This window comes from Homo sapiens, chromosome 7, assembly GCF_000001405.40.
Source record: "Homo sapiens chromosome 7, GRCh38.p14 Primary Assembly".
NCBI classification, from domain to species: domain Eukaryota; kingdom Metazoa; phylum Chordata; class Mammalia; order Primates; family Hominidae; genus Homo; species Homo sapiens.
The window spans coordinates 81686386-81704452 of NC_000007.14; the positions used below are offsets into that span (position 1 = coordinate 81686386).

The 18067-nt window shown below is 33.5% G+C and overlaps 1 protein-coding gene and 1 long non-coding RNA gene across 3 annotated transcripts in view; both read right to left on the reverse strand.

The window, feature by feature from the left end:
* LOC100128317 (uncharacterized) overlaps nucleotides 1-5021 on the reverse strand; it is a 115021-nt gene extending 110000 nt beyond the window's left edge. The window contains exon 1 of the long non-coding RNA NR_126025.1: nucleotides 4944-5021. This is a non-coding gene — a long non-coding RNA (uncharacterized LOC100128317). The remainder of the gene's footprint in view (nucleotides 1-4943) is intronic.
* The window catches only part of HGF (hepatocyte growth factor), a 71038-nt gene continuing 65595 nt past the window's right edge, over nucleotides 12625-18067 (reverse strand). For both annotated transcript variants that reach the window (NM_001010932.3, NM_000601.6), the window contains exon 18: nucleotides 12625-16372. In NM_001010932.3, the coding sequence (NP_001010932.1) occupies nucleotides 16196-16372 (177 nt within the window). In that variant the 3' untranslated portion in view covers nucleotides 12625-16195. The remainder of the gene's footprint in view (nucleotides 16373-18067) is intronic.

Consider the following 18067-nt stretch of genomic DNA (forward strand, 5'->3'; position numbering starts at 1 on the left):
CAAGATGAGATTTAGATGGGGACACAGATCCAAACCATATCGACAGATTATTGTGAGATTAAAAATCTATATTCATGGCCAGGCGCGGTGGCTCACACCAGTAATCCCAGCACTTTGGGAGGCCGAAGCAGGCAGATCACCTAAAGTCAGGAGTTCAAGAGCAGCCTGGCTAACATGGTGAAACCTCGTCTCTACTAAGCATACAAAAATCAGCAAGGCATAGTGGCGGGCACCTGTAATCCCAGCTACTCGGGAGGCTGAGGCAGGAGAATTCCTCGAACTTGGGAGGCGGAGGTTGCAGTGAGCCGAGATTGTGCCACTGCACTCCAGCCTGGATGACAATGTGAGACTCCATCTCAAAAAAAAAAAAAAAAAATCTATATTCACTTTTTTTTTATATAGTGTCTGCACATAGAACGTATTCAATAAGTATTGGTTCATTTCTTTACCTTGGCTTATTTATATTATCATTAATTTTAATATATTTTAAATTTTGAACATATAACACATCAATACTTAAAAGTAGATTACCTAATCATAAATATTTTCCAAATAGAAAGTCTATCTAATGATGAAAAAGCATTACGTTATACACTTTAACTTAAAAATTTAACCATTGTAAACTAAAATTCTCTTTCCTCATGAATATATGAAATTCATATAAATTTCTGTAGATTATTAGGCTTTAGTGAGATTTAAAAAATGTATAGCTTACTTTATTATAGGAACATAAGTATGTTTAATTTAAGTTGAAATGGTTGCTAGAAAATGTATTAAAAAATCACTCTACTTTTTTTCCCATATAAAACCCAACTCTCATAATTATCTAGCATATCATCAAATCACATGAGTGTTGCTTGAAATAGTCATGACCAGATGTTAAGTACAGTTTTGTCTTCATAATTTTAACAAGATATGGTTTAGTTTTTTTCTTGTCTTTTAAAGCTCACTGATTACACAATACATTCTCTCTCCACAAAGTATATAAAGTTTGTTCCAACAAAAGTATACAAAATAAAAAAGTAATATATATTTAAAATGAAATTTTAGGACTGCTATCTGCTGAAAACAGTAGAAAATGAAGGTAAGAGGAGAAATTTGGAGATAAAAATTTTTTTCAGTAAATATTCTTATACTCACTCTGAATCACTAGAAATGATATCTCTAATTGTCCCTTTATGTAGCCTGATCCTGTAATTCAAATAAAGTTCTATTGTCATTAAGTGGGTTAAATAATTGTATCAATACTCCATCTAAGGAAGTATACTACTACTTTACCTTTCCACCCTCACCATTTATGTTCTGCTACACAAGGAAAAGAAAACTATATGTCACATTTTCCTCCTTAAAATTATGAAGAATTCTGAATCTTTGGAAAGAATGGAAAAGAAAGTTTAAAGTTTTTCTTTACAAAAGTAAATATCCTTTAGCACAGAGTTAGCTGGTACTCCCCCAAATCCATTCTCTACTAATGTTAGTAATAGAATTCCAAATATTTAGCTGGGCACGTGAAGCCTAAGTCACCCTTTCAGCTAGGTTTGGCCATGTAACTAAGTTCATGGCCACGGGAACATAAGCAGGAGAGCCATGCCTGGGCTCTTGGGATATGTTCTTAAGGAAAGGCTGCACTTCCTTCTTTTCTCTCTCTGGTTGCTTGGAACACAGACTTGATAATGGGTCCTTAAGCACCCATTTTGTACATGAAATGGAGCTGAGTATTGGGAATAATTCAGCTGAGTATTGGGAATAATTCAGTAACAGACAGAATCTGAGTCCCCAGTGATTCCTGAAACTACCGTGTCAACTTGGGACTTCTACCTCTAGTTTGATTTTATATGAAGGAAAAATAAAATTATTATCTTGTATTTTTGTCAATTTAGCAAAACCTAATTCTAACTGATAAAACCACATTCATGAGACTTTCTTTCATATTAATAGCATACTTAATATATATTGCAAACAACAACTCATAAAGGCATAGATAGAATCCCTTAATATCACACAAATGATGTTAAATATTTAAGTGGAGGGAAATTACAGTGATTCAAACTACTGCTGATTAACTAAAAATCTAAAATTAAGATCAAACAAATCCAAGGTCATAACTATTTTAAGAGCTACTTATGTGTACCTTATTCTAAATTTTATTTCATGGGAGAGAAAGCAAAAATATCAATTCATGGTTCAGTGTGTGCACACTAGCAACACTTGATGTAGAAGCTGAAGCTCCCAGCAAGAGAGAACAGCTTGAGAACAATGTCTAAGTGGTTTTATGTGCAACAATGTCAAGCTGTAAGTGGGCTAAGCTCAGTTACAGAGCTGAAATCCTATTGCTTCAGGGAAAGTAGGTTCTCTAAGGTTATCCACTTAAAAACAGATGAAACAGATCTAGAGCAGTGTTTCATGCCCAGACAATAGGGCTGGTAGGAACTAAACTAGAAAGGCAGGACCCAGCCAGCCACTTGGTTGGGATAACGGCCAAGAGGAAGATAAAACTGAAGTCAAACTCAAAACCTAAGTAGGATTTAGCAAAGAATAGAGACAATAGGTAGAACTACATAAGAAAGAACACCATGACAAAACATTGACAAATCACCAAAACAGAACACCATGACAAACACCATTGAGGCCAATAAAACAAAGGGACAAATAAAAACAAACAGCAAAACAAAACATATGAGTATTCTTTCAAAGTAGGACCATGCAATCTCTTTGCTTAAAGCAGAACTAACAATTAGGGAAGAGGTGAGGGTGAGTTCTGAGGTCACTAAAAACCTGCGGTCTGCATCATGGCAGATGGAAAGCCACAGAAGGACTATAGTGTTGGCTGCCTTTTCCACTTGTGCCCTTGAAAGAGATCACTCCGACAGAACAGGTGAGAAGGGCTTGAGGAAAAACTAGTTTGGAGTCAGCTTTTTAGAACACTGAGGCAGTGGAGGGAAATAATGACAGTTTCTACCAGAGCGAATGAGGCAAACAGGAAGAGGAATGGTAACTTTGAGGGCATAATTAGAAGCACTTAATGAAGGCAAGATCAGAAGCACTTAGAGAGCTGAGCTGTGGGGCAGTGGCAGAACAATGGGATGAGCCAGGGCTCTGGCTTTGGTGGTTTTGCAGATGGTACTGCCAGAACTGGAATAGAAACTTGAAAATTTTAGAGAAAACCCAGTTTTAGGGGGAAATGACATGATAGGTGTTTGTAAGATGTAATTTGAAGTACCTATTGGACATCCAGGTGGGTAGATTCACAAAAATTTGTCTTTTTGAGTATACCTCAGAAGAGCATCCAGATACACTAAACTCCAGGCATGATGCTATAAGAGGGTTCCAAAAAATTTAGCTAAAATTTGGGCCATATTGCTATGATGTTACTCAAAACATGAAAGTCAAGATAATACAATTGTACATCATTGACGACATGCAGAAGTGATCAGGATATCTCATTTGCCAGCCCTCTCTCTTCCCCCAAACAGTACTATTTCGTAAAGGAGACTGCAGAGTTTCCACAGGGATCATTAGACTAAAGAGGGCTTTTGTTATATTTTTAGATATGTGAACATCTTGAGAATACTCATAATATTACAAGGTACACAGAGCTTGAAGATTCAAATTAATGAATTAAGGTGGCTGAGAAATATACAAATCACAAGCATGATATTGAGAACGATAAGAACTATTTACTAAGCCTGTAATCAAAATGTACAATCTGTATTTGGGAAACATCAAGTTAGAGTCTCAAACTAGTCTATTTAAGAACTCATCTCACAGGTTGCACAGCCACAGAACATCCCTAGTTCTGTAAAAGTAAGTGAAAGCAATTTTAAATCTGCAAACAAAGACAGTCGTCTAAAGCTGCTTAAAAAATAAAAATAAAATCACCTCTCTAGGGCAGGAACTCTTGCGGGTTTCTGAATTGGCAGGGTCATTTCCCCAGAGGTTGAAAAGAACGGACCTGCACTCATTCCATTTTATGCTACTGCTTGCTTGCTTGTGCTCTTGTTTGATTTGCATTTCAACTCCATTTCTGCCAACAAATGCAGCCCCAGGTTCTCCTTAGAATAACTTCTTCCCGGCCAGGCACGGAGTCAAATTACAAACTGAATTGGGGAAGGAGGCCAAACGAAGATCCACCTTGTCTTGCTCCTTATGTAGGAGTTTACTAGGGCTGCACCTGGGATTGGCTTTCTCTGCCAGGCCTTTTCTATTATCTAATTCAGCTGTAAGGTAAGTTGAGTCTCTCCTTTTCTCTGACAGTGTTTTAAATTTTTTAACTATTCATGCTTTTAAACTCTTCTAAAAGTATTGCAGATCCTTCAGGATTTCGATTAAACTTTAATATACATGAATATGATTAAAAATAAGTAAATAATAAAACTAAGGTTTTGAATGTAAAATAGAGTAGGTCTTGTTCCCAGGACTGGCTCTGCCTCCAGCTATGTGACCCTGGGCAAGTCATTATACTTTTCTGTTCGTGTGTGTGTGTTTGTGTGTGTGTTTGTGTGTGTGTGTTTGTGTGTGTGTGTTTGTGTGTGTGTGTGTGTGTGTGTAAAATGAAGAGGTGATTTTTAACAGGCCTTGGCAGTTGTCAAAGTCTCTGTAATATAGACTTGTAATGTAATGCAAAACGACCCTATGAAAAAGATGGTAATTTTCTTTGAAGGTGTTTCTCTCTTTCATAAAACACCTTCTGGTATCAGCAATAAAGGGCAGGGACCATTACTGCTTTTCTTTGTTTCAGAATAAATTTTGAACTTTTTCCCAACGAAGTCCCTTAGAATTTTTAGCAATACACATTTCTCTGCAGTTCTATTTCTGTCTCACAAGCCTGTTGCTTTTCTTTTTCAATAGCTACACTCCCTTCCCCCATTAAAGATAAATAAATCTCCTCTGCTAAACTGGCCTTTCCCTGCTAACTTTCAACTTCATGGTAAGAAGCAACTCGCCTGTTAGCCAGGTGTATTTAGAGATGAGGAGGCCATGTTCCTTTAGTTGACATCTCAAAGAGCTTTGGGCAAGGCCTGTGTGAAAAGCAGTTTGACCTCTGAATAACTTCTTGCTCATATCCTACCCAGATGATAGCAATGTTTTCTTGTTTAAATAAGTGTTTTCCCTCCCTCCTACTTTCCTGGAAAATAATTAAATCAAATGTCCACGACACAGTATAAAACAAAGGGCCAGGTGGAATTAATATTGAAAATCCACCCCTAAATGTATTCTAATTATGAATTATTTGAACACTTCCTTTTCTCTAAAACGGATGTAGTTTTAGAACCTGCCTATGTAAAGTTGTAATGGTGATTAAATGAGATAAAACAGAGCCTGGAAAACAGCACTGAATAAGCATTATCTATTGTTATTTGATCATCTTCAGATGTAATTAAAAGCTTACGATGAAACATTTGTCAATTTCATGCTAACTAGAGAAATCTTTGTAATTTCATGTGTAAAATGTGCTAGTGTTTTCACCATTTGAGAAACTATGTTATTCCCTTGATAATAAATACACAGACCTCTTGAATCTATTAAGTGTGATAAGACACTTGGGAAAGTAAGAAAGAAGGGGCAAGACTTAAAAGATTAGGAATCTGGAAAAATTCAACAAAGAAAGAGGAAAGATAAAAGAGAGAAACACTAAATATGATTAAATAATTATGTCATAATGGAAGTGTTCATAAAATAGAAAAAAATAATATTCCAATAGGCAGGATTTGAGATTACCACAATGTTGAAAGATTAAGGAAGGATGAACTGAAAAGCACAGTAAAATCTTGCTATATACTCCAGAAGCTATTTGCACTTCTCAGTTAACACTTTCAGATTCTTGGTTGATGCCTGTTTCCCAAACTTGCTTGTATTTATAAGAAGGGTAGGGGTCAAGGTTTATTTATTCACCATGGTATCCCCAGCACTCAGTACTATCATAGTAAATGCTCAATAAACATGTGCTGATTTAAAACAGAAGTGTATGACAGAAGCCAGTGGAAACCACCTCCCCAACACTACTGCCAAAGGAATTTGGAGATGCTATTACTAAAAGAGTAAACAAAAGAGATTATAATGCTATCGTATTTTTGAATTGAAAGAAAACAAGACAAAAACTGTGAACATAATTTCTGACACATTCATTTTAAAAATATTTATCATGTAGTACCTAGCCTAGCCCATGTTCTCCTGGAGCTTAGAATCTAGTAGTAGAGACAATATTCATATCTGTGTATGCAAACGACAATTTAATTAATTGAGGTAAGTGTCCCGAAATAGAAGTGTGTCATCCTGTGCAATGTGTAACTGGATCAGGAAGGTGGGTGGGGGGATGATTGGTGATATTTAAGCTGAATGATGAAGTAGGCATTAGTCAGGCAAAAGCTGGTGGGTGGGGGGATAATTCCAGGCAGAAAGAACAGCATATGCAAAGGTTTTGAGGCAGGAAAGAGCTTCCTGGCCTACTCCCAGAACTGAAAGATACTAGTGTAGCTAGAATATAGTGGACAAAAGGAAAAGAGGTGAGTGAGGAGTTGAACCATCAGGGATAGTTCATCTGTTGGTCAGCTGATAGGAAATCATTGAGAATATTCAAACAGGAGAATAATACAGAGTTACATTTTAAAATGTGTATTCTAGCTAGATGTGGTGGTGCATGCCTAGAGTCCCATCTGCTTGGGAAGCTGAGGTGAGAGGATTGCTTGAACCCAGGAGTTCAATATGGTATTGAGCCATGATGGCACCACTGCACTCCAGCCTGGGCCACAGAAGAGACCCTGTCTAAGAAAAAAATAAATAAATAAAAATAAAAAATAAAAAAAGGATAGAAGGTGGAGAGTAAACGTGGAGAAACACATTTTTGAGGTTACTACAGTAATGAACACAGTTTTGAGATTACTATAGTAATGAAAGTGGAAGAAAATTGTGCCTTGGGCTAAAGTGGAGCCACTGGAGACAGAGACATGTGAGTGATTTAAGATGTATTTAGAAGGTAAAACTTTGGCTGAATGGAGAAAGAAGGACACAAATAGGTTAAAAATGACTTTCTGGATCCTAGCTTGAGCAAGCCCGATGGATGTTCCTTTTATTGAGAAGAAGATTGAAGGGCAAGGAGAGATTGGGGTTCAGTTTTAGAAATGTTCAGTTTAGATGCTGAGAGCACATCCAAGCAGTGACGTTAAGTGCACAGATGAGCCTTTGCTTTTATCTCCACCTGCTTCAGTGCTATCCCATTGAGCTGCTTTGCTGAGATCCAGCCAACCTCCCCTGTAAAGTCATGGTGGTGGAAAGATGCTAAAGCATTTGAAGCTGAGAAGGGAGTTGTGATATTTTAGAGAGCAATTTTAATAAGTACTAGAGCCCTAATTACAGCTTGGTAACTATAGTTAAGAAGATGTTGTAGACTTGAAATTTGTTGAGAGTAAAAATGAAGTGTTCTCATCTCACACATACACGGTAACTGTGAGGTGATGAATATATTAATTAATTTGATTGTGGTAATCATTTTGCAATGTGTACATATATCAAACATCATGTTTTACACCTTAAATATATACAATTTTTATTTGTCAATCATACCTCAATAAGGCTGATAAAAAAGACATTACTGAGGAAGTTTAGAAGTAAAAAGAACAAGAATAAAAATGGGACATTGTGAATGTGGAAGAACTGCATTCTCTGTGCTTGTTAATTTTGGGATGACTCATTGTATTTGGTTTGTAAGTGGATTTTGGAAATACAAGTGATTGTAATTAAGAGGAAAGAGGCTAATAAAGAAGAATAATGCTTTAGATCTTTTTGTTGACCTCACTTCTAAGGACATGTAAATGCCTTCAGAAAACTTCTCCCAGCTCCCCTCAACTTCTTTTTTAATCTTTTTTTTTCCTTTTTCTTCTTTCATTTTTATTTTCTTTCATAATCTTTACGTGTCTTTCTTTTCCTTGGTGCCCTGTTTCTAGAGCTGGAAATTTAGGCAGAGGAGGGGATGTTGTAAACACTAGAAAGATTTTAAAAAACAGGCAATTTTTTTAGCTTTAGTACTGTTAAAATAGGACTACCTTCACAGTTTTGTGTAATCAATTTTGGTTCTGTATTATTGATAGGAAAGTTCCTATAGATGGTACGTATATGTCAAGAAAAATGTGCATCAACTCCTCCTGTCTGAATTTTACTCAAAGTAAGTAGAAAAGAGTAAATCATGTAAAAAAGAAGTTTGATCTGGGAAAATTTTCTGTGAGATGCTTTTGTAGAGAAAACATATTGTACATTATAAAGACATAGAAATCTCAAACCATGTAGTAATAACTGCCTCTCATTTAGAAAGTAAATTTGGAAATCAAGTTTTTCCGGACTGCATTTATCAGAACTCTAGTGTCTTAAGACGAAATGAAATATTGGCTCTGTAATTGTAAGGGGGTTCTGTAATACAGTAAATCTGAAGAATGTCCTCTACCATACTCTCTCATGGAGCTTCAAGACACATATGAGCATCTAAAGGCTCTTAACTATCCCACAGCAAAGTGGCCTGTATAAAGCATCCCAGCATCTCCAAAGCTTACTTAAGCCTTGAACATTTTGTTCTTCTCAGTATAGCTTTTAAGGATCCTGCAAAAGACCAGTTTGGTTAAAGCTTATGAAAGTCATTAAAGAAATATTTCCTTCTTTAGAAAACGTTTGTAGTTAGAGATTCTGTTCTTCTTGTTCATTCACATATTCTGCAACCTTCACTATTGGGAAGTACTGCCTGGTACCTAAACTATCTGATTGAAATGTCAATCTTATTTTTCACAAATTCTTACTTTTTTAACCAAAAGGACCTGAGCATTTCCTCTCAGAAAGACTTTTTGGACAACTGAAGAAACATATTTAATCATATTTGCACCTTCTCTTCTCTAATCTAGATATCTTTAATCACTTATTTCATTAAGTCAATTTTCCACGTGTTACATTACTCATTATTTTTAATAGGATATAAATTCTTTGTTTTACGGCACAACAATATATTTTGAGCTATTACTACATTTAGGTTTTAATTCATCTAAAAAGTCAGAAACTTGAAAACCTCACACTTTTGTAAAGCTTTAAAACTACATGAAAAATAATTAATATGAAAATCCATCTGCCTTTGGTTCACCTCATTTCCTTGCAACATGCTACGCATGTTCATTTCTCTCAGTTAAGAAAACTCATCAAATGAAAACCTCTTGTTCCTTAAGTAATGATACTGTGAAACTTCTCAATGCACAACAGATTGGATATTTGCACGTATATAATGAGTGGACTATTGTGGACTCAGGATATTTTTGCAATAATTTATCCTTTAACTTTATCCTCCAATGTTATGACATCAACCTTTCATGGAAGAATCTTTTTTCCAGATGGGAAAAAGTATTCACTAGCATAATCTAAACTCTATTAGTTTGATAAAACAATATATTTATCCATAAGCAAATTGAAATTTAATTTTTTATTTCTATTTTTAATAACCGCATTGCAAATATAAATGTATAAACTCTCTAAAGTTAATAATTTCTCTTTTCCAGCTGCATTGTCTATTGTATAAATACAATAAAATATTTTAAAATAGCCCCACTTACTAATTCAAATCTAAATAATGCAACTAAATATAAAATCTTAAAATTCTTAATCCTCATTGAGAGTTGCATAATTTTTACAAAAATCCCAAATGTCTTGTTAACATTGATAAGGCTTCAAGAAGAGGGTGAATTATAGAATATTAATAATTATAAAATGTATATTGGATACCATAATATGTGAAGCACTGTACAAAATAGTGTGCAAATATTACTAATATGACAATGCTAAATGTCTTCAAGGAGCTCAAACTCACTGGAGGTGATTGCACATTGAAACAAAGCAGAATAGCTGGGCGTGGTGGCTCATGCCTGTAATCTCAGCACTTTGGGAGGACAAGGTGGGTAGATCACAAGGTCAGGAGTTCAAGACCAGCCTGGCCAAGATGGTGAAACACCGTCTCTACTAAAAATGCAAAAATTAGCCGGGCATGGCGGCATGCATCTGTAATCCCAGCTACTCAGGTAGTTGATGAAGGAATTGCCTAAACCCAGGAAGTGGAGGTTGCAGTGAGCCGAGATCATGCCACTGCACTCCAGCCTGGGCAACAGAGCGAGACTCCATCTCAAAAAAAAAAAAAATTAAAAAAACAAAGCAGAATAAATCGAAACTGATCTAATTCAGTCATACACACACTATTGTAACAAATGAAAAGAAAGCATCAACAATTCACAATTGTCAAATCTTGGAAACAACCCAAATGCCCATCAATGAGTAGATGAAGAAACTGTGATGTGTGTATGTATATAGATGGAATACTATATCTATACATATGGTATACATATATATGGTGAGAGAGATATATATGTGTGTATATGTATATATTTATATATACATATATAGATATGTATATATGAATGATGGAATACTACACAGCCATAAAAAGGAATGAATGAACAGCATTTGCAGTGACCTGGGTGAATTTGGAGACTATTATTCTAAGTGAAGTAGCTCAGGAATGGAAAATCAAACATCGTATGTTCTCACCAATATGTGGATGCTAAGCTATGAGGACGCAAAGGCATAAGAATGATGCAATGGACTTTGGGGGCTTGGGGGGAAGAGTGGGAGGGTGGTGAGGGATAAAAGACTATAAATATGGTGCAGTGTATACTGCTCAGGTGATGAGTGCACCAAAATTTTGCAAATCACCACTAAAGAACTTACTCATTTAACCAAATACCACCTGTACCCCAATAACTTGTGGGAAAAAATAATAATAAAATAATAAAACATTTATATATATATATATATATATATATATATATATAAGAAAGCGTAAGCAGCCACTGCGGCAAGCTGAGGAAATGATGATTTTTTGGATAGGGATGTTGAGGATGGAATCACATAGGAAACCCAGTGACATATGAAGGTTTTTAAATGTTGAAGAAAAGCATGATGTTCATGGGGACTGTTTGAACACAGACATGAAGTTTAAATATGAAGACATGTTCAAAAATGATGAAAATAAAATAATGTTAAGTAGTATTTGAGTGGGATGAGGGTCTGAAGTTGGCTTGGAGTTAGATTGTATGTCAGATTGATAAGTTTTTTGTTTTCATTGGTGCTTTTTTGATGTTATTATTTACTTTTAAAATCCATAAATAAACATATAACCTATGATCCCATACTTCTTTTGAATTATATAAAATAAAATTAAGTTTCTTTCCTTTGCCAGGTATTTTCTGTCTTGCTTAGCTGTTCTTTAGGCAATAATATATTCTTCATAATACTGTAAACTCTTCGCCAATTACTAGAAGTATTCCTTTCATCGTACTTTTAATTCTTGGCTTTTAAAAATAACACGTGCAATCGAGATATTTGTAAATATAAGGGACAAAAGAAAACTATAGAGTGCCAAGAATAAACCTTTTAATGTGAATTATACATGAGAGGCTTGTAATTTGGTGAAAGTGATGTAGAAAACTTTTTAAGGATTGTATAGGTTAAGGATGGCCCCTGTGTAGGAGAATAATAAAATAGAATGGCAATTGAACTCCGGGACTAAAACACAGAGGAAATGCAGACCAAGATGATTCTATTCAGGACACTGACAAATGGTAACTATTTAGAGCATCACAATTTATAAGAGTAAATAAATAAGAAACCAACAAAAATATTTTCTAAGTATTATTTATCAGACCCCAGGTATTTAAACAATTCACTCCCTAAATTTTACTGAGGACCCTGTTCAAATATCTCTTAAAGAAGATTTGCTGGACTATTCTATTTAAATAGCAGAATATAGGTTTAGAATGGAATGGGATTCTAGAAAAGAGAGAAAAAAAGGTCAAAATTTAGAGAAATCAAAAGTTAATATATTTGAAATATTCTTACTGCCACCATAAATGGATAAGTATATATTCTGCTTTAATCACAATCACTTAAAAGATTAGGTATTTTAATATGGGCTATAGAATTAGATACATTAGTCATCACTTGAGATCACTAGCTATGCCAGAATAAATTAGTACAGCAACCTTTTGGGGGAAAAAGGCAGTAAAATACAATTTGAAATAATCAGTGGTGTTATAGAGCTCTCTTTGCTTAGATCATTGAGGACTAGTTCTTCCAATTTGAATTAAATGAATCCATTGGATTCTTATTTATTCTTAACTGAATGCACACTTTAAAGAGATACCCAAAGTGATTCATTAAATAATTTAAAATCACCTTTGTATTATATAGTGGCATGAGAAAGGAAATTAGGTGAAAATTCATGGGAATATTTTGTATATATTGGCAAATAACAACATAGCACCATTCTAGCAAATATGAAGAATAAACAAATAGTTACATTTTACGGTGGGAGAAACTAAAGTACATAGAGATTAATGGTTTACTGAAGACCAACTATATTGCTGTGGATATTAGTTGGAATAAAATAATGATTTTTGTCTTAGTTCTATAAACAAGTTGTATTATAGTTTTTGCAAGAACGTGTATGTAATTTTTGTCAGTGAAGTCAACATTGCTATTTTCTGCATTTAGGCCCTAAGACAGATATAAATATGTACATGTAAATAATCATAACAGAGAAAATAAGCATTTTGATAAAATATTTTATTAATAATAATAATATAATCATGGTTATAAAAATAACAACTTTATTAACTACAGAAAGTTTATAATACAAGTCATAACCACAGTGTTCCCTTTTTTGGGTAAGCATACAGCTATACCACTCAATAGGCAGCTTATTAATTTCCTATTTACATACAAGACAAACAGTCATAGCATCCACAGTATTTCATTTTCAGTTTCCTAAAGACAGAAACTTTCTGTGCAAATGGAAATGAACCTACTTAAAAGTTACACTGTCAAGATATATATGGTCCAAAAAATTTTAACTTTTTTTGTATTAGTAAATTCTTAGCTCCAACCTTAGTTGAATGTTGAATGATAACTTCTTTTTGGACTTTATCATGACAAGTGATTTATTTTAAAATTATGTATTTTAAAAACAAAGGCCATGTACTTTTACCAAAATTAGTTTTATTTTTTAAATGAGTTTGCCTATATGTATGGGATGTAATTAATTATAATAGTATTTTTTGAATCTCAATAAATTGATTTAAGGCTTTTTAGTATAAGATCTTATTAAAATTCTTTACCACATGATCTCTATATTGCAAAACCAGTATTTCTTTTAAAAAAGTTTAAAAACAACAATGAAATGCCTGACAGCAATTTCCCACTTCTTGACAGTGTTCTTTTCAAGAGAATGTTGTGGCTATAACATTCACTTTGTACAGTACCATTGGTACCAACAAGAAATATTCACAGGAATAAGTGAAATACAATTTTGCTATCACATGCCATTATTGTTAATTTTCTTGCCTTCCAGTGTCTCACACTTCCCATAATTTGAAACACTTAGATAGCAAGCAAAAGCCTGTTAATACTAGAAATTGACTCAATAGATTTTACTGAGGACCTGCCCACAGCATATAGGTAAAAGTCATTACACATTTTACAATAAAATTAAAGAAGTATACAAAAGGATTATCATTCCTTCTGCACGGCAGAGGCATTATGAAAAATATTTTAGTTTTACACTTCAATTCCTGGTAGACGTGAGAAAATGTCTACAATTATAACAGTACATAACCATTATTCAAACAGCCAAACCAAAAATTGCATTGAAACCTTCTGATTTAAAAGATCCTTTTGTCAATGACACAAAATAAAGTGGATTGTTGGATTTTTAAAAATGTTTAATGATTTATTCAGCAAAGAACACCTGGTAAATAGTGTCTTCCACCAGCAAATAATGACATGACTCTACCCTGTTCTACCACCTAAAATAACATGGACCTTGTTCATCTAAGTTTCATTGTCAATTCCACCCATGTCCCTCTATCACGAAAGGAGCCTCCCAAAGAGAGAATTACTTTGTACGGTTTGTTTGATGATTTATTGGTGGTATTGTTTTTAGCCTTTAATAAAATGAAAAATACTAGCCTCAAAATGTCTAAATACTTAGCTGTATCTTGTATCTAGCTAATCTTTATCTGTATTTCCAGGAAATTTAGAGGAAGAGTCATTAAAGAAGTATTTTTAAAATGTGAGTATTTAAAATTATGACAATTTTTATAAAAGTTTTACAAATATCATTAATATGCAATAATAAAATTTCACTGGTTCAGCCAGAAGAAACTATGAAATATACTTTATATTTTGGCAATATGCTCTTGAAATTTCTAGGAGTTCTTACTAAAATGGTGTATTATATAAGGAAAATAGAAATACCATCAGATAAGATGATAGAGACCAGCAACTAGTTGGATGTCTTTTTGCTTCCACTTTAAGTTTCTTGATGCCAGCACATATCTTATTATGAAAAAAAAATTGTATAAGCATTTCTGGACTCGCCGCCCTATATTCTGTGGACTAAGCTCTCCATAAACTTAAAACCATTTTAGTCCAGATTGAACAGTACTCTAAAGAGCTGGTAGGGAATTGTTTGGGGACTTGGCCTTGATAAAAATCACTCAAGAAAACTAAGTCAGAGAAATGGGACTACTGGATTCACACCATTCAAAAAATTATTTTTAAAGGTGTTTTGTACAGGAAGATTTCTGCAAAAATTCAAAGCCTATCCTATTACTTTTTGTTATTCTATTTCTCAACAAATACATGATCTTTAGCTAAGCATGACAAATACAATGATAAATATGATAATTTGGCTGTTATACAGAACACAAAATTTAAATGTCTGTTACATATGGCATTAGGAGTGAACTTTGTAAAATGAAATAAGAAAAAATAAACATATCTTGATAAAATATCTGATTCAACAGATTCCACTCTACTTCAAAAAAAAAATAAATGAATACAGAGTTGAGACAAACTAGTTTCTTTCCTTTTACAAGTTGTCTTTTACTTCAAAAAAGCTTTATTAGGCTAAAATCTTCCAGGTTGAGAAAAGTATTTTTATTTTTTTCTCCAATATATACTTTAATGCATGACTTGATGAAGGGTATTTATAAAACTTTGGAGACTTGGAAATTTTCCTCTTAAATTTTTTAAAATTTAAAGGCAGTGAGCTAGAAGCCAATCACAGCAGCAAGGCTTAGATTTAACCTATTTAAGTACATTTTTAATGACCAAAACACTTTTAAACTTCTTCAATTAGATACTGATCTGAGCACTTAAGAAATGCTTTAGGAAAATAGATCTACAAATATCTTGTGTAAATAAGTGGCCTTAAGTTTGGAGGAAACAAATTACACAAATAGAACTATTACCCTCTTTCCTTTAAGAATTAGAAACTACATGAAATAACTAGGATAATGAATACATGTAAACACCTAGATTAGGTGTTATTTAACTCTGGGTGATGGCCACACCTGAAATGCCAACCAAAGAAGATCATCTGCAGATTATGTATGGAGAATTAGCTAATCATTTTGATCTTGCATCATTTTTTAATATTTCTACTGGTCTTTAGAGATTTCTGGTTTTTTTGAGGTAAAACTATAGGTACATACTTCTAAAATATTTAGGGGTTACATTAGGTACACCATAATTTAAACTGTAGTGCATGCACATGTGTACCTAGGCATGTGTACATGGGTATGTGGTTTTGTAAAAAGTGTGTTCGTGTACCAGTATTGCAGGATACATGGTGAAGAGAAATGAATGAACTATAACATATAGCATATGAAATGTAATATAATTTAATATAGGGCTACAATTTAGGGACACAAGGTATAAATTGTTTTGGTGAGGTTAAAATAACATTTAATTTGTGGTTTACTCATTATTAAGAAACCAACATCAGAAAGCAGCTTAGACAGATTAATTGATTTTTTTTCCCATGAAATCTTTATCATCCAGCAAATATACCTGTGTGTTTTTTTAATCCATTCAAGTATCTTCAGGAGATATGTTATTACACTTGCATGTACCTTAATTCACTTCAACATTGACAAAATAACACTGACAAACAAAACAACAGAAAACACCCATAAACATTAATGAGAATTTCAACAAACATGACTCTCCAGTAGTTGTCTTAGGATTGTTGTAAGTGACATTTTAAATTCCACATTCTCTGAAATCTTCATGTAAAAGACAGTTGTATTGGTGGGTGCTTCAGACACACTTACTTCAGCTATGACTGTGGTACCTTATATGTTAAAATAATTTTGTGTATCCATTTTGCATAATATGCTACTCGGACAAAAATACCAGGACGATTTGGAATGGCACATCCACGACCAGGAACAATGACACCAAGAACCATTCTCATTTTATGTTGCTCACAAACAAGTGGGCCACCATAATCCCCCTAGGAGTAAGACATACAAAAACAAAGTATTATTAGGAATTAAAAAAAAGCTCATTAACATAATCATATATAGATTTGCATCTCAGAGATATATACAGAAAAAGAGAATAACTGCAACTGAAATATGAAGATATAAAAATTAGTGTACTAGACATTTGTTGACTTTCTACTGAATTAGCCAAGACTGAGATAAGTACAAAGTTTAAAGTGTTCTATTATGTGTGGTATTCTCCTAAAAATGACTTGCCTTTTCCAAAAGAGTCAACCATCCTTTTAAGTGTGCTTTGCCTTTGTTGGATGCAGACTAACATATAACCATCGGTGCCTATTTAATAAGGTAGATTTGATATTTATTTTGATCTTCTTATGTTCAATATAGGAAATTTGGAACATGTAGAAAAATACAAGTATAAAAGAAAATAACTTGTAATCATATAGTTTTAACAATTAAACTGCATTATATTTTTTCTTATTTCTAAAGCTTTTTTTTTTTGCCTCTCCCAATCCTGCCCTACATGATCTTAACAAGTTAAATAAAAAACTTGTTGTCAACAAAATAATTCTGTTAATTGAAATTGCTTTTCCAGGCAAGGAATATTCCTCCAGTTACTGCTGGTATTAGTAGTTAATATAGTTATAGTTATATTTTATACCCTCCTTTCTGTAGCGTGTCCTGTGATTTCATGGCATTTCTTATATGGTAAGCCTGTTGCATCATCAGATAGAGGAAAGATGAACAGATAGCTTTATTTGTGTTGTGTATATATACATGCATATATTCATTTATGGTTTTATTTATTCATATAAATATAATTATATAAAAATATATAATAAGTAAATATAAATAAACAATGCACATAGTGTTATATGTAACAACTACAACTGTGCTGCACCACTTTCATGAACCATGTAGCCTCCTTAGAATGCAGTGGCTGGCTTTTGGTATCTTTATATGCAGAAGAGTGTTTGGAACTACCTTAATTTTCCCTAAACAGCGATGGGGGAAACCACTGCAAAATTAACTTATGTGATTCAAATGGAAAGAAGAGAGCCATTGGCATTCTGTGATGGGGAAAACCAAGTTAGGGGTAAAGTAGAATTTCACACAGTAAAGAAAAATAGTTTATTCCAAGAGACTATATAAACTATGCCAGTTGAGGAAAGAAAACTGATTTTTAAACAAATGTACTAGTGATTACTGAGACAAACTCCTCAAAGTAATTCACTCTGGAGACTTTCACTAAATATGATGTTACTGCTATTATACAAACATTTGGGAGATATCTCCTTCAAATTTATTTCAGTGGCTAAATTACCTTGATTTAAATGTCAGTGACATATATATTTTTAAAAACATTCTGGAGGATAAATACATTTTTGAGAAGTGGCGGAATCTACTTGAGGTCAAGTCTTATCAATAAAGTTAAAAACAACATATATAGTATACAGATATGAATAATTCAAACTGAAGAGGGAAGTGAAAAATATATAGGTGATAATCCAAATTAAAGGCTATTCTTCAAAAGCAGTTGTCAAATTGGTTTTGGTAATGACAATAATTAGATGATCTGTAAGGTTGGGTCTAGTTAGAAACTTCTGTGTTTCCCGGATGCTTATTGCTTTTTCTTTTTAAAGTATAGTCATTTATTTCTCCTAGTAAATGTTCCCTTGTTATAATGAACAATGGTTTCATTG